At 45.5% G+C, this 23,257-nt stretch overlaps 1 protein-coding gene across 15 annotated transcripts in view, besides 1 other annotated feature; it reads left to right on the forward strand.

The window, feature by feature from the left end:
• Positions 1–23,257, forward strand: part of NRP2 (neuropilin 2) — a 115,631-nt gene that overhangs the window by 68,767 nt on the left and 23,607 nt on the right. For 7 of the 15 annotated variants that reach the window (NM_003872.3, NM_201279.2, XM_047446172.1 and 4 more), the window contains 4 exons: positions 1,568–1,708; positions 12,407–12,669; positions 14,207–14,303; positions 15,516–15,536. In NM_003872.3, the coding sequence (NP_003863.2) occupies positions 1,568–1,708; positions 12,407–12,669; positions 14,207–14,303; positions 15,516–15,536 (522 nt within the window). Of the gene's footprint in view, positions 1–1,567; positions 1,709–12,406; positions 12,670–14,206; positions 14,304–15,515; positions 15,552–22,275; positions 22,280–23,257 lie in introns of all 15 variants that reach the window. The other 8 variants (NM_201266.2, XM_047446170.1, XM_047446171.1 and 5 more) reach the window with 4 other exon arrangements.
• Positions 1,018–2,217: an enhancer, noted in NCBI's record as "CDK7 strongly-dependent group 2 enhancer chr2:206617009-206618208 (GRCh37/hg19 assembly coordinates)". NCBI's record gives its function as "activates an origin of replication core promoter dependent on BRD2, BRD4, P300/CBP, MED14 and CDK7 cofactors, with strong dependence on CDK7, by STARR-seq in HCT116 cells {active_cell/tissue: HCT116}" and the evidence as "EXISTENCE:reporter gene assay evidence [ECO:0000049][PMID:35650434]".

A 23,257-nucleotide genomic window follows, 5' to 3' on the forward strand; every position in this document is an offset into this window, starting at 1 on the left:
AATATGATTTTCCCGTTTCTAGTGGTTTGTTTCATTTGAGGTTTCTTTGATGGTTCCTCCCTTTTCTTTTTGCAAAAGTTTTTTTTGTAGAATTTGGTTCCTGAGATACAGTATACATGTAAACATTACAGAGGATTTATGCTATATTGAATTACTTCGTATTTTTGAAGAGAAAAATAGAAATTCAGAAATTGTCAGGAGAAGGGGTGGTAAAGGCTAAGGGCTGACTTTTCCAAGCCACAGGTTGATGCTTCTGTAATAGATTCCATGTGTCTCTTCTAAACTCAAGCTGACTTTGGCCAAGGGTGGGCAAACATTAAATATCCTGTCCTGGAAAGGGAAGGCATTTACAGGGCCTGGTGGCAATCTTCCTCCTCCCTCTGACGCCAGCAGTGCCCTGCCCCCCATGAGGTGAGCCCTCCTCACCCCTAGGGTGAGTAATTTGTTTCTACCAGTCCGTGGCTCCCTTTAGACTTCCTAACCTGCATTCTAAGCCTTCCCCAGGGAAATTCCTCTCTAAGAACCCTGGGAAGGGAAGTGAGAAGGGCAGAGACCCCACTTTCTCCCTGCTACCAACATTAGCCAACATTTTTCCACTGTCTCCGCAGGCACTGCCGGCAAACAACCAAATCTGGGTTCCCATTTCCTCTTTCCCCACGTCCACACCACCCCCACTTAGTCACATATTTGGCATTAGCTCATACTGGATTTTTGGAGCTGGGTGGAACCTCAGAAGAAACTCTCTTGGTTCTGTCTTCAGGCTCAGGCAGGTGAACCATCAAAGCAGACAGGACACCACTGTGTCATTAGTTCCTGGATTCCCATAGGGAAAGCATTCTCTACCTCCCGGGGTCGCAGCCTCCAGGGATTCAGCATGATGGGAAATTATTTTTCCTCCTGGCCAGCACTGAGCTGAGAAGCTGGCTGGTCTGGTCCCTTCGATTTGCTCTTACCATGCCAAATTTCCCACCGGGCATACCTCCCCATGGAGATGCTGGACTGTCCCAGTCTTCAGAAATAGAGACGGATCACAAAGAGGTGAAGTGTAGCAAACAAGCCTTCCTTGTTTCTGAGGTCACTTTCTCCTCACTGGGCAGAACCTCCCAGGGATTTCAGTCTCTCTGGATGCTAATGGGCTGCCCCATCTCCTCTGAGAGCCAGGTTGGCAGGAGATGAGATAATACTTTTTTTGGGAGCCAGCCTTCCACCAGGGCACTGGGGAGACATTCTTCTCTGGCATTTAGGGAACAGCAATTTTCACATTTGTCTGCTCTCCGAGGTGGACAGAAGAGGCTGATTAGAGCCTGAAGCCATTTGGTAGCCTCATTCATAATTGCTTACTATGGGAACCACTGGCAGACTTGGCTTTCATGCCTGGGAAGGATGAGACCAAAGCCTGACCCGAAAGCCAGCGATCGCCAAGATGAGTTAAATGAATAAGCAAAGGAAGCCACTTCTTTCTCTGCTCTCCACTCAGGCCTTGCCAGCCATTTAAATAGTACCACTGTGGCTGTTCTCTGAACCCATTTCATTTGCCTTCCTTTGGGTTATTGTTTTCCCCTTTTAGACAAAGATTTGCAGCTCCCTTCGGGATTCAATTGCAACTTCGATTTCCTCGAGGAGCCCTGTGGTTGGATGTATGACCATGCCAAGTGGCTCCGGACCACCTGGGCCAGCAGCTCCAGCCCAAACGACCGGACGTTTCCAGGTAAGCCAGCTGTGAGTGAAGATATGAAAGAGTTAAGGCCAGCTTGTTCCACATACTTCAACCCCAGATTCCCTTACAAGCTTCATAACTTCCCACCGCACAGCAATCCTCTATTCTTTGCCCACAAACCACCACAGTCTTTGCTCAAGACGTCACCTCAAAGAATAGCCAGTTGGTGGTTCCCAGCCTCTCTTGTGATTACAGCACAGCCTGGAAGCTGGGAGGGAGAAGCGGAAGCCAAGATAGAAGAAAGAGGAGAAAGAAAAAAGGGACAATTGGGAGGCCCTAGGAGATGGGGCACGAGTCAGTGTCCTCTTGTTCCCATAGCCAGCACCCACTGCTATTATCACAGAGCCCCTTGTCAACTTCGAGCTGGGTACTGTTCCTAAAATGGCTCATTGGGAGATGACTGGCCTTGAGTTTGATTTATACGTCTCTGAGGGTGCCACTGCTTCTACACCAAGTCAATTTGAGGGACCAAAATGCTGCCACACCCATGGGTATCTAGCAGAGCTGCCTGGCACTTGGCCTCTAGAAGAGTATTGCTGTAAGTCCTGGATACATTGTTAAGCCCACCATTTTAGTTTCAGAAAGCCAGATTTCAGAAGCTTCTCCTGGCACTGCTGACAAGAAGGGGTTGCCTCTATCCCTTCTAAACAGGTAGCAAGAGTTGTCTGCTATCTCTGCTGTTACGTGCTTTCACAGCAGTATGATGGTAAATGTTTAACAATAGGCTTTTTAGGGATTAAAAAATAAACTGCTTTTTAACGTTTGTCACTTTCAGTGGTGTAAATACCCTTACCATAGCTGAGCTTAAGCTACCAACACAACATCAATGGAGATGGAGTTGAGAAGTCAGTAAGAGAGCATTATATAGTTTTTTTTTCCATTGTGCAAATACAGTAGACAGAAATGACTCCAGAAGTATAGCTACTGATAAAATGTATTAAGATAACTAGCAAGTGTTGAGTTTTGAGGATTTGTTACCTTTGTTTTTTAATACAATTTATTGAATTATAGCTTTATATAATTTAATTTTTACTAATGAATACATTTAACAACTGGCTTGCAAAACACTTGACAAGCAGCTCTCACAAGCTGGTACACCTTGGATCTAGCACAGCACTGAGTGACTTTGAATTCTCCTGTACTTCTGGCCTGGACCTGAGACCTCCATAAGCACTGGAGAGGAGAGGGGTGAATTCCGGAAATTTAGTAGATCAGTTTGCCAGGGTACAATAGGAAAAGGCTAGAAAATAAAAGAGGGAAAGGGACCTTCCCTTCTGCAGGCTTCCTTAGAACTGCTTCTCACCCCAAGCACTGGCGTGTCCCTTCTTCCCGGTGGGGGCAGTGGGACAGATGCTAGGAGAACACTTGGAGCTGGCCTCCTGACACAGTCCACACTTGCTTCCCTGGAGGGTCACAGTGCCTGATCCGGAGAAAAACATTTTCATATTTCAAGTGTTTATCTCTTCAGCATTTGAGTGCTCAGAGAGATTAATATCTGAAGATCACCACAGCCTCAGGCAAAAGAAGAGAACACTTACCCCAGTCCAGCCTTAATCACCCTCCCTTCTCTGTTCACTGCAATAATGTTTAATTAATATAATGAGCCTCCTGCACGTTGGGAAAAAATACTTATTTTTATAACCCAGCCTGGATTTTTCATTTCATTTCCACTCCTTTGAGACTGCATCCAATTAATTCATGGTTGTTCCCAACCCCCATGTTTTATCTGAATGTAAAGAAGGTTTGTGGGGTCTGTGTAGGTGTGGGTATTCTAGTGTTAATGTGTGTGTGCATGAGTGTGTTTGTGGTTTCTGTGCATGGGTGTGTGTGTGTGTCTGTGTGGTATGTACCTCAGCAGAGGCGCTTGGAATAAAAGGATATAGCCGGGGTCCTCTGCAGGCTGGGGAGGTTGGCTGGCTCTTATTCAGTGTCTGTCCTCAGGTTCATTCTAATGATTCTGGCCTCCTCCCTTGACTCTTCTAAGCATATTTTCTCTGGGAGTGTCTGAGGGCAGCCCTACCCAGGCCACAAGGCCACCAATTACTGAGTCACAGCTCCAGGGGAGCTTAAGTGACCTCCCTTTGACCCTGGCCTGGACCTCTGTTTCTTCACCCGTTCACCACCGCCTCCTCCTCGTCCAGTCCTGGCCTTCACCCGAAAGCCCCTATGGTTGACCTTTGCTACTGGTTGGGAATTCTAGTCTTTGTCCTCCTTCCAGTTGATTCATTATACCCTGTGGTTTGGGAGGGCTTTTCAGAGCAAGCTCACAAAGTGGGCAGAATTCCAACCTTTGGCTGAATGGATGGGGACAGAGAGAAAATTACGGCCATAAGGAACTGCTAAATCTAATGTTGTTCCTCCCTTAAGATATTGAAAGGGAAAGTAATTATTTTCCTATTCCAGAGGAATCCCGAAGTTTGGGAAAGTGGCACTTATAACCTGCCTCCAGGAAACAAAATCATAATATTGTTCTCAGAGCCCTTCCCTCTATCCTCTGATGACTTTATGAACCGTTCTCTGTATTTCCCATTTTCCTTCTCCCTACAGAGCTTGATATTGGGCTTTAAGCAGGAGAGGAGAGAAAGCCCTTTCTGTTCAGGGTGGTCCTTACTTCTTCTCCATAGGGAAAAAAAAAAAAGGAGGGGGAGGCCCTGAGGGGATTGGGGAGAAGGGAAGCAGCTGGCTTGGTTGGGGGCAGAGCAACTGCTAATGGGTTCAGAGCGGCTGGCGCCCACAGAGTCAGCCTGAAAGCCTGTTGTGTGCCACACTTTGCCATCCACAGAGGGGACCGTCCCACTCTTCACGAGCGTGTGCCATATGCTTCATCCCCTGATGAGATAGGCAAACAGAAGTAATGAAATTTAAGAAAGGAGGTGTCTCTGTCAAGTGTGAGGGGCGTCAGGGTGAAGAGAAAGGTGGATGGGAGAGGAGCTAGCCGTGTTGAAGTACCCAACACGGGCCCTATGTGGAAACTGCTTACATTCCTCGGATATTTTCTGATTTCATTATTTTCTCATATTTTCTTTCTTTTTTTTTCCTTTCCTTTTCCTTTTAAGTAAGCAATTAGTTCTGTTCTTTTTGGCCAGTGGTTGCCTAAGGCTGAAAAGCACCCACTGGTTTCATTCCACTGTTTTTGTTTTTCAAGATAGTCTTTCAAGCCAGTCAGAATTTCTGTTTTTAGCTCTTTGCTTGTGGCTTAGCTGCCTGGAGTGTGTTCACACCAGCCTCTGGGGACCCTGTTCCAAATTCAGTGACCCCTGCTAGCTGCGGAGGAACACTCAGTGTTCTCTAAGAGGCCACTTTGGCTTTCCTCTGTAGTGACAATGACATAGGAAGCACCCCCTTACTAGGAGATGGCATGTTTCCTACATTCTCAGGTGCTTTGAACATAGACAGAGTTTTGAGAATGATCAAAGCCCAGCCTTTAAGAACCGAGACAAAAACTCATAGGGCGGGCAGGTATCTAAAGCTGCAGCATTGAATATTGTAGCCATGAGCCATGTGTGGCAATTTTATTTTAATTAATTAAAATGATTACAGCCAAAACTTCGGTTCTGCTGTCCCACCAGCCACATTCCAAGGGCACAGTAGCTACACTGTATTGGTCAGTGCATAGACAGGGCACGTCACTGTATACACGGCATCATCACAGAATGTATTGGACAACACTGCTCCAGTGCTTTGGACACTCACATGAGAGCAACCACCAGGGGCCCTTGATGATTCTTTAGTTCCCTGGTTTTGGTATGAACCAAGAAGCAAGTAATGGAGGGATGTGTCTTCTGTGGGATCCCTTGATGGAGTGTTCAGTGGCTGGTATCTTTATAGCTGTCTCATTCTCCCTCACTAGATAACTACAGTAAAGTAAGCAAGTAACATGGCATTAGATGGTGTAGGAACTATTGCGATTAATCAAAAAGAGCATTGTAAGTAAATATTAATACTAAGTAAGGTCAATAATCATCATCATTGTGATTGTTGTGTCATTTTTATTGTCAGGAATGAGACAAAGAAGATGAGGTAAAGGGTACTAGGCCAGGTCAGCTTCAGAATCCTCCAGTGTGTGTTCCCCCTAAATCTGTGCTCTTTTATTCGTGGGTTGGCCTTGTGAAATCTGATTACAGTATTACTTCAATGACTTTCAATCATGAAAGTGATAGAAAGAAAACAAGCGAAGCTGATATTGAACAGAGCTTTGACTGCCTGGTCAAAGCCTATGGGATTGAGGGAACAGAACCTTTACTCTAGGCTCAAAAACAAGCTCAAATGGGAGTAAGTCGAGAATCTTAATGTTATAAAATACCCAAATTTTACAAACAGTGGCTGGCTATTCCTTCAAATGTAAGAAGTAAGATTGTTAACACCTCACTGGGGCTATTTTGATGCAGACTGAGCCATTGAATGAATTCCGTTAGAGTGGGAGACCTTAGCCATGATTCACGGTGGAGGCGCACACAAGAAGATTAAGTGAAGTGTGGATGGGTATGGTGAGTGGATGGTTGCAGAGAAATCAGAGGAAATAACTGATGAGTGAATTTACTCATAATGGGCTTGATTTTAGACAGTGAGCAAGTGGTGACTGAATTGAAAAGCAACTCTGAGTTCAAAAGATCAGGTGGGACCGATGGCAGCAAACAATCCATTGAATTGCTGTTAGATTGAACTGTCTTCAGAAAGAGGTTGCTGTGGCTTGGCTGGGGCACAGACACTGCAAATCCAGAGACAGAACTTCCTGGGCTCTGGACCATGATAGATAATTAAAGATCAGGAGCAGCTTGGCTAAAAGAAAGCCAATAGTCAAGGAATAATTTCAACTGGAAAAGAAAAGGATAGAGGCCCTTCTTTAAGGAAGGTAGAAAAACATCCCAGGCTTTGCAGAAAAAAATAACAGCAGGAAGAAGCTTTCTTTACCCTTTTTTTTTTTTTCCTGCAAATCATGATTGGTTGAGTCCCCCAGCAGTGTGTGGATTGATAACGAAGGGGCAGAATGACAAGACAGCCTCAATGGCAAAACCTTCATGAAAGCCGGCAGAGTGAAAAAACAGCTCTGGGTAGATTCCTGCAAGGGCTAGGACTGAAACCTTCATGTCCACAAAATGGTCTATTGTAAACCTTGAGAACATCTTGCTAAGTTTATCCAAAGTCAGTGTTTCCCTTAACTGGTTGCTAATTTGAGGACCTTAGCAGAGATAGGCAGACCTTGGAAGGCCAGCTGAGGGCTGACTCATGTTTTAAGCATGGACTATGCAAAGAGACTACATCTCCTACAGCACTAAATATTCTTTCAGATGGTCGTTCTAGTAGGAGGGCAAGATGCTAGCCAGGAGATGTGCGTGTTGGACAGATGGTGTGTTTGGCTTTGTGATAGCCAGGAGGATCAAGCTGGTGATTTATTTCAGGGTTTGGTGAGGTGTAGACACAACTGATTCCATTGCTGTTGGGCCAGTCGCAGTCACGTGTTCACATGACACTTAAGCAGCTGAAGCCAGATGCGGCCGTAAATCGCCAGGTGAAATATCAAGAGACCTTTCCAGAGACAGCAGCAGGTTAAAATGCTGAATGGCCCTGTCCTCTGTACTTCCTCTTCACCCTTTTGAACTCCTGTTGTTCATTCCCAGGCGATTGTTTTCCCTGTATCATTGGCAACAACAGATGTTTTGGGTCAAGGACCCAGCGAAATGCCTCCCAAGTATGTCAGGTCCAGGAGGAGAGGAATTGTATCTCTGGGACATTATTTCTTCAATCTCTTTCAGCAATGGAACATATTTCCTTTCCATTGTCTTTTTCTTGGAAGCTGTCCATTGCCGGCATCATAGCCATCAGCTACAAGAACAGGCAGGGCTGGTTCTTAGCTGGTCAGTTGTCACGTTCAGGCGACCTCTTGACAATCCAAAGGGCTTTACCTCAAGGTTCAAGTAAATAAAAAAGTAGCCCCCCGCCCCCACCATACCAGCTCTTTTGACGGTCCAAGTAATCAGTAGCCACTGTATACCTAGAACATCTTCTGTGTCTGACAGTGGTGGGCCATAAATCGGGAGATTCCAGAAGAACAAACTTCAGTTGCAGCACGTGTTTGATCTCAATATCTATGTGTGGGTGCCATGACTTAAAAGAGCTGAAGCATTTATAATAGCTTGGAAGAAGGGTCAGTGGAAAACCAACACTGCCCTAGAAAGTAGACATTTGAACCATGCCCTAGGAAGTAGACATTTGAAGGGGCAAGGGTTCCTAGGGAAGCAAAGACTACGAGTCTTAATTCTTCACAAGTGAAAATGTCTCTAAGTTGGAAAACAGAAATTGGCTATGCTCCATCAGGGGTAGAAGGAGGAAATGTCTCTAAATGACAGCAGGAAAACTTTAAACTGAATTTAAGAAGTTTCTGATGGTTAGGGTTGTAACCTAGAAAACACACTACAGACGTGGCCTATGGAAACTCCTTCTCTGGAGAATTTAAAGCAAAGGGTGGACAGCTGTTCTTGGATGCTTTTGGCACGGTTCCTCCGGGAGGCAGGACTGGCCTGCCCTAAGATCACTTGAGGTCCCACTCTTGTTCCAGGATCATGTAATATTTTATTTCATCTACTGTGAAGCAACACAAAAGACCTGTGGTGATGGAAAACTTGGGGCCGGCTGGTTTCTGGAGAAAGAGCAGATAAGGGGAACCAGTCTTTGTCCAGAGAACATCTTTACTGCCCTCATGCCAAACATACTTCTTTTTGAGTCTTGGATTGGCCTTCCTGGGTTATTGGTGGTCTTTCTATCCTTTTTGTTTCCTAGTAAAATAAAGGCAAGCATAGGAGGGAGTGTGTAGAGTGATATTAATAGTAACAACTTTTCCTGAGCTCTTAATGTGTCCTTGTTACTGTGCAAAGCACTTTACATGGCTCATTCCATTTACTCTTCCCCCAACTCTATGCAGTAAGACTGTCTTTGTATCCATTTTACAGATGGAAAGACTGAGGCTTTAAAAGCTTAGTGAGTTAGGCTGGGAGTCCAATCCAGATGAGAAGCTATGCTGTGGCAGGTTTACTGAGTCCAATGAGGATTCAAATCCTACGTCACTCCAATTCTCTGAGCCTCAGTTTCTTTTTGGTGAAAATGGAGAAGATGGTATTTATTTTGCAGAGCTAGATTTCACAGGGAAGGTGACATCAGGGGAGGCAGGTAAAGCCTCCCGTGTGATCGCGCACAGGCAGCAGGTGTTCAATGTGTTCATTCCTTTCCCCCTGCTCTTCTTCTCCCTTCCTTGGGCTTTTCCTGGTCTGAGTCATTCCTTCATGATGTCCCTGGTTCTAATCAGGCCTCTGTCAGTGACAGGCGCTTTGCAGCTCAGCATCTCTCTGACTGATGTCTACTGCTAATTCCTTAAATTTACATATCATCTTTCTTCCCTGGAGCTCATAGCACTTAACAGACAAGTGGGGCACAAATGATTTAACGAAGTGAAATCCAGAGGCCTGCTCGTCTGGAGATTCTGCAGACTAGTGGATTAGCTCAGATGTCAGCACTGAATTATGATCCTTCAGCTGCTTGTGCTAAGCATGTCACTAGCATTAACTCCCTGGTCTTGCAATGTTCCCCTAAATCATGCATAGAGATTGTCATTTTATCGTGAGAGGGAGATGGGAGAGAAGGAGAAAGGAGAGAAGAGGGGAAGGGGCTACCTGGTGGGGTGGGTCACTGGAAGGGGCAGACTGTGAAACCTTTGGCCTGGCTGTGCCTGGAGTTTCAGTAACAGGAAGGGTAAGTAGAACAGACCCAGATACAATCCATTCAGCCCAGTTCTTCACACTTCCACACACATTTCACTTACCAAATTCTAACCATGATGCCATGATTTCCCTGCCGCTTAAGAATGTAAATTCACACAAGTGACAGTATCTCTGCCAAACAATTTTCAGGCAGCAAGTGGGTCTTATTTGTGAAACTGTGAAGGAAGAAGGCTGAATAATAAATCTCTAAAATCTGGTTTCCTTTATATATGAGGTGGCAACAGTAAGGGCTTGGAAATTACCGGAAGCGTGGGAGCATTTAAAGGGTTCTCACTGGTGTCTCGGTACACTGGGTGCTTCCACAAGCCACCTTGTCATTACTGGTGCACCTCACCTTTGAAAGTGGCTGTTGGCTTGGGAGGGTAGAGGGAATTGTGAAGGGATTATATCTAAGGGATTATGAGAAGCTAGCTGATTCTCCTGTCCTCATTTCCAATGTATAGCCTCATATCATTCTTTAACCGTGTATTTATCATTCTCCATTCATCCATTCATTCATAGAAACAAAATTTTCTTGAGGAGTGGCATATATATAGCACTATCTAGGGGTAGAGAGAAGAAGCAATGTTAAACCTTATTATTTGTAAGACCAGCATTTACAATATAACTGGGGTGATAAAAAAGACATGAAAAAACCAGTTAAATTATAATGCCAGGCAGTGAGTGATTACCTGCTGAAATCCATGGAAAATGGCCTGCCTGAAGTCCTTTTAAAAACATAAAATCAGCAGTACAGTCAGTAAATGCTAGAGTTGTTGAGAAAAGAAGCGGATTAATGTTGCATGTGCCAGAATAGTTAGGAGAAGAACTAGCCAAAGGGACGGGGTAGATGGAGTGGTTCAGGGAGTGGAGAATTACAGCTAAGAGGAGAAAAAGCAGCAACGGGCCCAGTGGGGAAGCCAGTTTGCCTCAAACAGAGTGTGATTGATTGCAAGGACTTGGGGCAAGCTACCTGCAGAGCAGCTGAAATAAAGAACTTATTGCATGAAGGTGGAAAACCTGCAGTCAGGGGTCTCGGCTCTGCCATTGAAGTTGCCTCTCTACCTTGGACAAATCACTTTAACCTTTCTGAGCAGTTTCTTCATCATGTGCAAAGTAAGGTTAGTAAGTCCTATCTCACAAGGATATAGAAAGGATGACATGAAATATTGCATGTAAATGTGCTTGTAACCTGTAAAGCATTATGCAAGAATGAGCTTTAATTATTATCATTAACAGCAGTAATAGTAAGATCTGATAGGGGAAGCATAGGTTTAGAAGATCTTTGAGGGTCTGATTTGGCATCAGTGTATCCTCCCTCAGCAGACACCATTATTAATTCTCTTCTGTAGACAGCTGCCTTTTAGTTATCTGTGCTGATTTTGGCCTTGCAGAGGTCACACCTTGTAGGGTATGTAGACAGATGTGGCTTTGGATGGTTGAAGAGGCACAAACTGGAATCCCATATACGCATACTAAACTGGTCTCATTTGACTTCAGGGAAGCATAGCTTCTGAAGCACTAATCCCAGAGAGCCTAAACAGGAAGGAGCTTAGGGGAGCAGGGAGGTAGGTGAGGCAGCTGGGGAGTCAAGAAGGAAAGAGCTGTTTCTGGGCCACTGATGGGAGGTCCAGCACAGGCTCAGCTCTCACCTAGAAAGTTGAGGTCAGCAGGATTAACAACAGCAAAGCAGTGGTCCAGGGAGTATTGCATTGATTCTAGGCTCTAGAATCCTAGCCCATCTACCCTGACAAGTCCAGGATATTCACAGTCCCTGTGGAGTAAGAAAGCTCTGTGCATCTGTCCCAGGTTAACATGACCTCACACTAACATGATCCTAAGGCATCTGACGTGCCCACATTCCATGCTGCATATGTGGTAGAAAAGTGGCCCTGCCATCTTGCAGAAGTATTCAGCCTAAGACGCCCCTATGTTTCAGGGCCAAAAAGAGGTACTGAGATTTCCTCACCAAATGCCACCTTGTTCTCTGTACAAGTGGCCAGAATGGTCCTGTACAAGTTGGATTTGAAGGTGCAGGTCACACCTGTGTTCTGCAAGGCACGTAGTCTGCCAACAGCAACAAGAACTCGGTCTTCCACATGAGTGTCTGATGAATTTGAAACTAATCAGCCAAAAAGGCCATTCTCCAAACATTTGGATTGGTAAACCCTTAATTTCCCAGAACACATATATTCTCTGCTAAACACACAGCCTTTGTTAATGATAATGACAGCACCTTTATCACTGGAGCCATATGTGCCTGGCTGTCTCAGAAAGGCCAAGTTCAAGCCTCCCTGAATCATCCCTTTCAGCTCCCACCCTCTGTTCTGTTTGAAGGTGACACTGGGCTTCTGAGTCACAGTCACTAGAGCCCAAGCATCATCTAGGAGCACTGATGGAGACAGAAGGTTTTAAATGTCAGCCATTTGGACAGTGCCCAGCCAAGATGGCCAGGGCTGGAAGCATCAACCACCTGGTCATAGTCACCCTCCAATCTAGCAGCCCCCCACCCCCTATAATCTGTCCCCTTGTAATTCAGTTCATCAGATTGCACTGGCCCTTTGGGTGAGTTAATGATGAATAAGATGTGGGTCTGGCCTCTCAGAATCTAGAGGGAGAAGAAGGGCACGCACACAACCAGCCAAGACATAAGGCAGCTGTGCCGGGTGCTCCATGTGAAAGAGATGGAAAGGAAATGATACCGAGAAATAGGCAGGAGGGACCGATTTGACTTAGAGACTCTTAAGAAAACACAGCATTTGAATCAAGGCTCTGAAGGAGCCTTAAGAAAGGGTCACAGAGCCTGGAGAACAAGGACATGAATAAACCAAAGACACCGAAACTCAGTCCCAACTTTCCCTTGGAGAGGCCACAGCAGCACACTGGTGTCTTTCCCGAGTGTTTATGGAGAACCTCTGTTTGGGTTTGTTTCTGCCAGATGACAGGAATTTCTTGCGGCTGCAGAGTGACAGCCAGAGAGAGGGCCAGTATGCCCGGCTCATCAGCCCCCCTGTCCACCTGCCCCGAAGCCCGGTGTGCATGGAGTTCCAGTACCAGGCCACGGGCGGCCGCGGGGTGGCGCTGCAGGTGGTGCGGGAAGCCAGCCAGGAGAGCAAGTTGCTGTGGGTCATCCGTGAGGACCAGGGCGGCGAGTGGAAGCACGGGCGGATCATCCTGCCCAGCTACGACATGGAGTACCAGGTGGGGTGAGCAAAAAGGGAATCTTGTGATCCGTATTTCAATATTTCAAGGGCCGAGCCCATTCATCGTTAGGGAACGTGGTTAAGCGCTACTGTTTTCATTGTGTTTCTCACGTTGCCATGGCAACTGAATGACACTCTTATTTGTTATTCAGAATATGCCTATCTCTACACCCAGACTTGGTTCTTTGTTCCTCCTGTTGCCTTTTATATTGCTGAAATCTTCTCCAACAAATGTTTCTCCTCTCCATTTTATTTTAGATTGCTATCAGGTAGGCTGACAAAGGGACACAGAAGCCAGAGAAATAAACACAAACAAACCCTCCACACACAAGGAAAGAGGCCTGTGGAGCCCCTTCAGATCTGGGGAGGAAATAGGATAATCTCCCAGACCTGTCCCAGGCAGCAAGAACACAGGAAGGGGAGCGGGGGCTGTTGGCGCTCAGTGGCCGGCAGACATGAGAGGCTCCAGAGTGAGTGCTCTCTCTCTCTCACCAGCTCCCGGAATGGAGTTCTGTTATCTCTGCCCCACAGAGCAGGAGACTGAGGCACAGATGGGTATGTTCAGCCGTGGTTGCAACTTGGGTAGGAGTAGACACACTGTGGAAGAGGTGACTGAGAACCAGCCAAAGCATTAACCTTCTCCTCCCCAGACGAGGAGCAGCAACAGATGGCTGGTGCAGCAGCCAACTGCTCACCCAGCTTGCCAGAGGACATGTGCTAGTTTGCAGAGAGGAACCTGGGGAGGGCGAGCATGAGAAATGACTGAAGACCACAGAGCCGAGGGGCTTCTGTGTACAGCCTGCAGTCCCTGTCCCTTGAGGTTGCAAGGCATCCTGAGACCTTCCCCACCCCCATCTGGGTTCCCACTTACTCACCTGAGTGTGTTGTATTGTAACTACCTGTTTGCATTTGTGTCTCAGCCATTAGATGGGTGAGCTTCTCTGGGCAGAGATCTTGTCTTACTAGGTTTTGTTACTATCCTTATGTCCAGGGCATAGTAGGTGCTCAGTAAATGGCTGGTGAAAAAACAAATTCTTTTCCTCCTAGTTGTAATAATGAAGCCCTAAGGCAACTTATAATAAGGAGCACAAATCAAAACCTATGTGCTGTATTTCTCACATTACCCCCACCTACTTGTGTCTTCTGAGTTTTCAAATACCTGGATTGGGCATTTGAAAGATTTATGAGACAGGAACCTCGAAAATAGTGAGGGAAGTTTCAACCCCCCTTTCAATAGTCTCTGATTATGGCCCTTTTAATCAATACATTCTAGTTACTGGACAACAATATCCACCCCCTTGTTATATTTTCTTATCCCCTTAAATATGCGTTTGATTTGAACAAACTCATTTTGAATTAAGATTTCAAGAGCTGTAGCCATGTGGTCAACAGATGTGTACCAGGTGCAATAACACACACACACACACACATACACACACACGCTTTAAGCTGCAGCTAACAGAAACTTGGAAATCCTTGCACCGTTTGGACTAGGAGACTCAGTTAACCATGGCTCTTATTCTTCCGGCTTCTAGATTGTGTTCGAGGGAGTGATAGGGAAAGGACGTTCCGGAGAGATTGCCATTGATGACATTCGGATAAGCACTGATGTCCCACTGGAGAACTGCATGGGTATGTGAATATCTGTCTCTTCATGGTTCTTTCAAATAAGACCCCAAGGGCTGGGATAAGCAAGAGGAGGCAGGACACCATTTTCCAATGCAGTCGTTACCCAGTGGGTGGGGCAGCCACAGTCTCTGCAAGGTAAGGTGTGGGTGTAGTTGTGTCTTAGGCTGGGTTCAGGGTGGGAAGGGGTGTGAGGTAAGGGGACGGCTTATATCCCTGTTCCCAATCAGAAATAGACATGCACTAAGTACATAGAGGTTCAGGGTGCCAAGACCCCCTCAGCAAACCCCAGCTTTTAGCAAAGAAAATGCTAGAGGACGAGAGCAACTGCCAGTCAAAATTATATGCTGGAAAGGTTTGATGGATTTAATGGAAGCCTTCACTGGTGAGCAAAAATAGTACATATGTTATGTAAGAGTGATAACACAATTACCTGAGTAGTTATTTTACATGAATGAATTGCAGAGCAAACTGTGGCATTTGAAGTAAGATTTCAGATTTTTCTTTAAAACGAATACCTCTAATGCCCAAGATCCCAAAGTTGTTGTAGGATTAAACATTGCAGGCCAGGTGACTGGCACGAGAAGGATATCATAACCATCATCTTGGTCAAAAGCACCTGAACAGCCAGTCCACCTGAGAGGCACGCATTTTCTTCAGGGTCTCCTGCTGCAGATGAGGTCACCCTGGCTGTGTCCCATCAGAGCCATGGACATTTCCCAAACCAAGAAAGGAACCCTGAGAAGGCATGAGGGTTGCTTTCAGTCAGCAGAGTGGCTGCAGTAACTCACCAACTGCCTTTCTTGGCACACGACCCCTGGTGTGTGTGTGCTTGATGATGTCAGAAGCACCTGGGACCACCCCAGTCCCTCCGGGCAACTCTCAGGCCCCAGGCATCTAAAAGTAATCCAGGCTCTGAGAAAGTAATCAGCAGTAAGTAACTGATTACAATACTTTAGGGACCCATTTCTTGATGAAGGACTTTTTGTTCCAAAGCAACTTTGAGAATCCCCCCTCCTCCGCCATCACCACCCCATGATGATGATGTGTTAGAGCCAGCCTAGAACATGTGGAAGATGGGGGGCCCTCTCCATGGAGTGGTACAAAAAAACCGAGTGCAGTCATGTTTATCATCATATTCATCCAATTATTCACTCTATGTTCACCCAATTGTTTCTTGCCTTTAACTAAGTCCAATTTTTTGTTTGTTTTTTTCAGAACCCATCTCGGCTTTTGCAGGTGAGAATTTTAAAGGTAAAAAAAAATTTTTTTTTTGCATGCTTTTTCCTTCCCCCATGTGATGTGAATTTGATGGGGGGAATCAACCTCCAAATTTGTCAAATCTCGCAAGAGAAAAGAGACGCCACACCTTCCTGCCGCTAGATGGCACTAGCAACACCTGTAGATGCGGGAAGGGGATTGAGAGCCTCACTGTCTCTTGTTTAATTAAAGTTTAGAAACCTATTAATAGAGACAAATAGGTTACAGATAAACCTTTCAGCCTTGCATTGTCCAACGGGGAGCAATGAGGCTGAAAATGCAGGGGTGGTGAGAAAGGAGAGACTGTGGGAAGACTGAACCAAAAAAAAAAAAAAATCAGTATAAATTAAAAGTGAAATGAGGTGGCAATGATTTATTTTAGCCTGAAGATGGTTTCTTTCCAGTTCCAGGGTACCAAGGCAGCGGTTTCAGTTAACCACAGAGCCGAGGGGCTTCTGTGTACAGCCTGCAGTCAGTACCTGCAGTCACCATACCTCAGTGAGGTACGGTGGCAGGCTGCTTGTAAGAGAAGGAAGTTAGGAAAGAGACACAGAAGTGGTGGCCTCAGGAGAAAGAGTTGCCACATTTAGGACCCGGTGTCCAGTCAAGGGAATAAGGAGGTGCATTCGATGACTGGAGCTAGAGCACTTTAAATGCAGGACTGAAAATCAGAAAGGACGTGTTCTCCCCCGAGAAAGCAGAGAGAGCAGAGCAAAGTGAGAAGAATTGGGGATGCTTGCCTCATCCAGGTTATAAAAAAAAAAAAAGGCCTCCAGCCTTGGGTGATGGCAATGTTGTTTGTGCTGTTACAATGCAGCAGATTTTACATTTTGCCCTCTTTGCAAACCTATTAGCGGACACTGCTGAAGTTCCCACACCGGTTTCTAATGCCAAACATTTAGGAGCCACTCTAAATGCGTCACTGCAGTTGGCCTGAGTGTAAAAGCACACACAAAAACACCCTCACCAAATGATGGGGGTTCTTCATGACCTGTTTGATGCCAGCAATTGTGAGGATTGCTGTGCCCTCTTTGTACTGGCTGGGCTTACCCCTACAAGTGGCAGCATTGCAGAGATAAGGGCAGCCATTTTTATATCTGCCGTCTAGACTCGTTATCTTCACTCTCATTAATCTGTCCAGCTCTGGGCTAGAAAGAGATGAATTCCTGGTTTGCCACCTAGATATGCTCCCTGACTCCAAATCATCTCACCCAATTTGCCACTCATCAGCTCTAAGACAGCCAGTGAGGAACAAAGCTGCAGACGACAGGGGAATGACAGACCGACATAGAATATATTGCCTTTCTTACCCTTCCTCGTGTCCCTGAACCCCATGCCCACTCCCTGTACCACAGTTCTAAAAGTATTAAGAGTATTCATGTGCATACACTGGTGCTCTCTGGGGGTGAGGTTTATGTTAATGTAAATCCAAAGTATTGGAGGAAAGCTGAGAGCCAAACTGAACGACTTTGGATTACAGTCGAATTCGAGTTCTAACCTTCAGGACCCAAGGTAATGCTTATGTTGGTGAAGTGAAAGCTGTGGATGTTGTTTCGCCTGACTCTCTTTGGGTTGTGGAGACTCACAGCTCCCAGAAAGGCTGGGTAAAGACGTGCCAGCAGCTGCTGCAGACACTGTTCTGTGTGCACACCGTGTCGGGCCATGACTGACAAGTACAGTGGCTAAGTGCTAAGTGCTTCACTTCCGTAAGAGAATAAGCAGACCAGGGCACGTACACTCTCCTTGAAACTGTGCTTACCATGAGGCTTCACAGGCCAGTCATGCTCTCTTGTAAAAAATATATACATAAAATCTCATCTGAGCAGCAGTGCTCATTTAGCCAAAATAAACACAGGGCTTAGTAACTTGAAGGTAAGAATTTCCAGGGTGCTCCTGGTGGGCCGCTTTGAGGCTAAGCAAAGGCAGTGCACAAGTTGCATGGATTAGGCCATGGCTTTCGTCCTGGAGGATGGCAAGCATCTTTGGGAAGAAGAAACCAAGGCTTGGGGAGCAGAGACTTGGCCAATGGACACAGTAAAGAGCAGAATCTGAATTGGGAATGGAGAATTTCATTCACCTTGGCACGTTTTACATGGAGATCTGAGTTGGTAACCAGATGAACCTAGTGCCATGGGTCTCTTCTTTCTGGCTGAGACCTGTTTGACCACAGCATGCAACTCTGCCTTGAGCAAACTTTTCTGTTTGAGAGAGGAGAGGACTGTGTGTTCCATCTAACCTAGTGACTCATATACTATTCCTCTTATGGTCAGGACAGCAGGAGTCCTCTCTTGATCCGGGCATAAAATCAGCCTTTTCACTCAAAAAATGGAAACAGAGAAATCAGGGGGCAGGCAAGGTATGGAAAGTTGATGTTGAAACACTGCCAACCATAGGCATTTACATTGTTATACATTTTTCAAATTAGAGTGTTTTTCTTTTCCCTTATAAATTAATCATGCAACAAAGGTAATCTCATTCTTTGGGAGCAATCACTGTACAGGTAAATCTTTAGTGAAATACAATAAAAGTGGCCTTTGGACCTGGAGTTATTAGATGGTCGCAATCTTTTATATTTGGAAGTATCTTTCATTTTCCGCCTCTTACTGATTTCTTGCCATGCAATATTATTTTAAATTTAAATCATCCTGTGTTTTCTGCTGTGTGTGTGTATATACATACATACACACACACACACACACACACACACACACACACAGACACATTGTGTGCCAGGATGTGAGTCAGTAATGAAGAAAAGCCTGGAAGAAAAAGAGATCTGTGTTGAGAAGGGAGAAAGAGAAGAAAGAATGAATAAACTGTGTTGTCATGTGATTTTTTAAAAAGACCCTTTTTTGTGGTTGTTATGAGTCACATTTTAAACAATGTAGCCTGGGTGTGCATTCTTTTCTTTTCTTTTTTAAAGCAGTGGCTATAAACATGGTGCCGTCATGTATCTTTTTCTAGGATTTGAGCTTTAACAAATGAAAAACCGTGTGTATAAAGGGGGGAAAAAGAACCGAAAAGTGGTGTAATTAAGGTGATGGATTATTTCCTCTTACCCAATACTTTCTTTTTTCAATAAAGGAAACAAGAACAATAAAGAAGCCAGTAAAAATATATGAAGCCCATAATCAGAGTTCTGGGGTTTGTTGACCAGGTGGTTATTTTTAGCAGCTCACCTTGGAGGCAAGAGTTTTTGTTCGTGTTAGAGGCTGTGGTTTCTGAGCAGAGCACGGGCAGAGAGACGATCTGGTGCCCTACCTGTTAGAGACTCACGGAAATCCCAGCTGGGTGCACCTGTGGAAGGTGGTTGTCAGAGGGAAGGATTCAGAATGACTGTCCTACGCTAGTGGATGCTAAAAGGAACATCAATGTCTCCCGTTTCAGCTGGGAATGTGGGGTTTATGACTCAGACCATTCCTAAGGTCCAGGGGCCCCATTTCTCGGGTCTCCCTAGGTGCCTTTCTGCAGTTCTCCACAGTTCTCATCCAGACAAAACCAGGAGAAAGTGCACATCCACAGCTGTCTCTTGGGCATAGAGGGGAGCAGTATTAAGAGAGGCCCATTTTGGGGGTAATGCTGGCTGGCATTTGACTCTATTCCTTAGGCTTTAAGTTCTGTTTCTTTGGTGCCAACTGGCCAATCTCTGCATTTTGCACCCCCTTCTCTCCTTTCCCATTCCCACCCTCACCCTCTATTGCCTGCCTCCCAAGGCTTTGTCCACCAGGGTAAGGTCCCCCATCCCAGGGCCTGGCCTCACATTCCCTTTCTCCCTGGACTCCCTTCCTCCCACGCCTCCTTCTCCTAGAAGCACTTCTGAGATGCAGAGAGGGTTAAATGGTGCTTTTGCACATAACCGTCTGATGAAAGGCAGAGAAGTGTTCCTAACCCCTGCCGGGGTTCCAGATAGGCAGCTGTAGTGTGTGAATCCTCCTCCTTGCCCCCACCCCCTTATGTCTCCAGCTGCCAGATTAAGGCTAGGTGTTGCTGAGCAAGAAAGCATGGAGATCAGATGTGTGAAGCGGGTAACTGCTTGGCGGCCATCCTTCCCCAGGGGACACAGAGGTGTTCTTTGTGAGGTTCGCTGGAGCATGCCACCTCTCCTGCTACAGAGGCCTGACACGTCCCCTCTCCATCAGTTTACCACTCATGTAAACAACTGCCGAGGCCAGCTTATCTATGGGTGGAAGAAAATGTTTTTCACCAACTTTTCTCTCCAAGAACACAGGGACAAGACTCAGTTTACAGAAAGTAGCATAAGTGCCACCAAAGAGTGTGAAGCGTCCGAGACTTCAGCCAGTCAGAGATCTGAATTCGGAGGCATTTAAAAATGCCTCTAGATGTGGGAGCAATCCACATGGTTTCTGCCAACTTACTGAAAACATCCCGGCGCCTCCCGCCACACCATGCTCATAAGGCAGATGGAAAGAGTCGTTTCTCAGGGATGCCTTTGTGCTTGTGCGTCTTTTTTCCAAACACATCAGAGGGCGTGACCACATTCTTCTACTATCTTCTGTAAACTTCTCTAGAGGAGCCAACCTTTTTCGTTTGTTTAATCTCACAAATTAAATAAACCTTTATGTGAAATGTTCCTCCACCAGCACTTCATTTTTAACCTGTACAGAAAGGACTGTGCAGACAGGCCAGTCCTAAAACAATTCTGACATGCAATGAGCCTTTTTTGAAAGAGAAAGAGAGAAGGCTTACCCTTGGTGTCTTTCAAAACACTTCTTCTGGAAACCTGGGTGACTCCCCCAGGTCCAGATGATATTTCATAAAGCAGCTATAGTATATGCTTTCTCATTTCAGAGATTCAGTGAGAAACTGACTTGACTGAGACACGCCAATCCTCAGACAGGTTCAGACAGAAATAGGAGGCAGAAAGGAAGAGGACTGTTTCCTCTTCCCTCCCTACTTGGTTAGAGCAAGGAATCTGCAAACTTGTTCTGTAAAGGCCAGATAGTAAATATCTTGGGTTTTACAGGACATACAGTCTCTGTTGCAAGTATTCAGCTCTGCCATTGTGGCATAAAAGCATCCATAAGCAATATGTAAACAAATGAGGGTGTCTGTGTTCCAACAAAAATTGATTTACACAAACAGGCAGTGGGCTGGATTTGGCCAATAGGCCACAGTGAGCTGACCCCTGGGTTAGAGCACAGGCTGGGATTTTGTCCACCTGGTTCTAGCCGTGACTCTGACACTTGCTAGCAGTGTACAGTTCCTCAGGGGACCCTGGGCCATCTCTTGGGTTTCACTGAATGCTTCTCTGCCCTTCTCCACAATTATCCTCCAAGTGAAACCAGGAGAAAATCACTTGTCCTCTCAAGTACTCAGGTCTCCCTTTGGAGGGTCATGAGGAATAAACAAAATTGATTCATGTGAAGCCCGTAGACCAATGGTTAATACACAGGAAATGTCCACTCAGGGTGGCCGTTGTTACAGACACGTTTCCCAATTGCATAGTGACCCTATTTGCAGATAGGAATGACCGGAACACTACCTCATGTGTAACTGTTTTTCTTATTTTCTCCCATGCCTGGTTTCTCAAACTTTATTGTTTCTCAAAATTCAAATTCTTTGTGTTTGCATTGCTTTTCTCCAGGGGGCTCAGAATTTTTACAGATGGGAGCCTGTGCAACCTTGCAAATGCACTTGGAGTTCAGTTATTGACTATTTAAGTATCTGTTTCTGATTATCTCACACAATGGGAAAACTTTGTAGAGAATCTGGGGTGGGAATTAATGAAAAATAGTTCAGGAATTGAAAGTGTTTTCCAGGTGAAAAAAGACATGTGAGTAAGCGGTAGAAATTAGATCAATCAAAGGGAAAATTCAGGTCAACAGATCAACCAACTCCAGGCAAGGTTGAATTCTCACCTACACTTTCACCCACCTAGCCCAGGCTCCTTTTTTGTCAAGCAATGGCTCGATCACCCCCAGATGGCTGAAGGGGCAAGTGAAGCTAAAATTGCACAACTCAGCAATTCGGGCATCTGGTGCAGGTGACATCTGCCTAAAGTGGGCACCTTTTTCTAATTTCCCATAGAGGTGCCACATGAGCTAGCAAAATCTCTAGCACTTTCTGAAAATAACTCTCCAGGGAAGTACCAGTAGGTCATCAACATTTTCCAGGGAGTCTGAACATTGGTCCAAATATATTCCCCTATGCCATCCGTCCATTTATCCATCCACCTATCTATTCATCCATCCATCTGGCATTCATTGGATTGCTGATGTTGTCTGGGAAGGTGCTTTGGGTATGGATTTAACCCCTATTGATTTATCGTCTTCCTTTTCTCTAGTTGGCAAACCACAGCCTCATTAGCATACAGCTCTCCAAGGCTGGAACAGGGCCAGATTCTAAACCAGCACACTCCACCTGCCTTTGGAGTTGAGTCTTTTTAGCTAGTGAATGTTCTGAGAAACTTCTAGCCCCCAGCTGCAAGTCAACCAAGAGTTGCTTGTAGGGGATCAGGAAGGGTTTGCTAGTCATATCCTCTCTTTTCTAACATTAACGTTATTTCTAACCTCTTGACATTAAAACATGAATTCACATAGTACTATTTCTCATTTCTCCAAACAAATGCCCAAAGAAAATGTTTAAGGAGCCAGTATAATGTCCCCCAAGTAGCTTTTGTCACTGAAGTTTTCTACATGTTGATAATTTCAGGGGAGAGAAGGATAAGTAGAGAAGGAGAAGAGGGTCTTACTTAAAGTGGAGTTTGTCTTTCAAGTAGAGCAGGATTCTGAGAGACTATGTCTGTGTCTCTGATTCTAAATATGTAATCCATGTACTAGGATTTCACCTTCCTCCAGCAGGTCCCCTTGATTCTCTCCATTGTGCCCTAACATTGTCTCTTATCGTAAGAAACACTGTAAGAGAAACATGAAGGCTTCATCCTTCTCCAGCCTGAGCACTTTAAGCCATAGGTTGTGTATTTTGTGTTGGAAACCAGCATTTTGGCTGAAGGAAAGCAGACTTTTGAACAAAGATGATGTAGTGATGGAGGGAATGTGGGTAGTTGTGACCATGTTCTGCTTGACAAAAATTTCTGCTCCCACCTCTGTGGTCTGGTCAGGTACTTCTTTAGAGGGAAAGCTAATCCCTGAGGATTTATCACCTCCCTTTTCTTGATGGGTGAGCTGCAGCCTCATTAGGGGATGGCCCTCACTGTGGAGCCACATGAAAATCAGAGACAAACCCCAGGACACCCTTTGGGGAGAGAAGGGATGTCTCTGAGGAACTCTGGGGGCATCCCTTAACACTTTGATGTTTCCTGTGCATTTTTGTAAGCTCATATCGAAAATCCAGCAGCAGGATGGTTGCCAGGCAGCAGATCCTCTTGGTGACCTGAATAATGAATTGACACCAGTTGACTGTGACTTGCAAGCTGGCCACTTCAAGGAGCCATTTCCAGCACCTTGCTTTCTCTTCCTCTCTTTCTATGCATAATTTCCACCATGGCCACAAATATGAGAGAGAGAGAGGCCTTTCTCAGCTATGGTAATGAAACTAGTAAAAGACAGAATTAGTTTGGGGACAAAGACAAAGAGGGCAGGCAATAAGGTGGGAGAAGAGGAAGATGTATAAAGGGACATTCAGGGGATCCTGGGATTCTGGGGTCATTTCTACCCCAGGGGTTGTGGATGTGGCTGTCAAGGTGTGTGCAGAGCAACACATCCTTGTCAAAGCTCTGC

Source organism: Homo sapiens, chromosome 2 (genome assembly GCF_000001405.40).
Source record: "Homo sapiens chromosome 2, GRCh38.p14 Primary Assembly".
Lineage (NCBI taxonomy): Eukaryota > Metazoa > Chordata > Mammalia > Primates > Hominidae > Homo > Homo sapiens.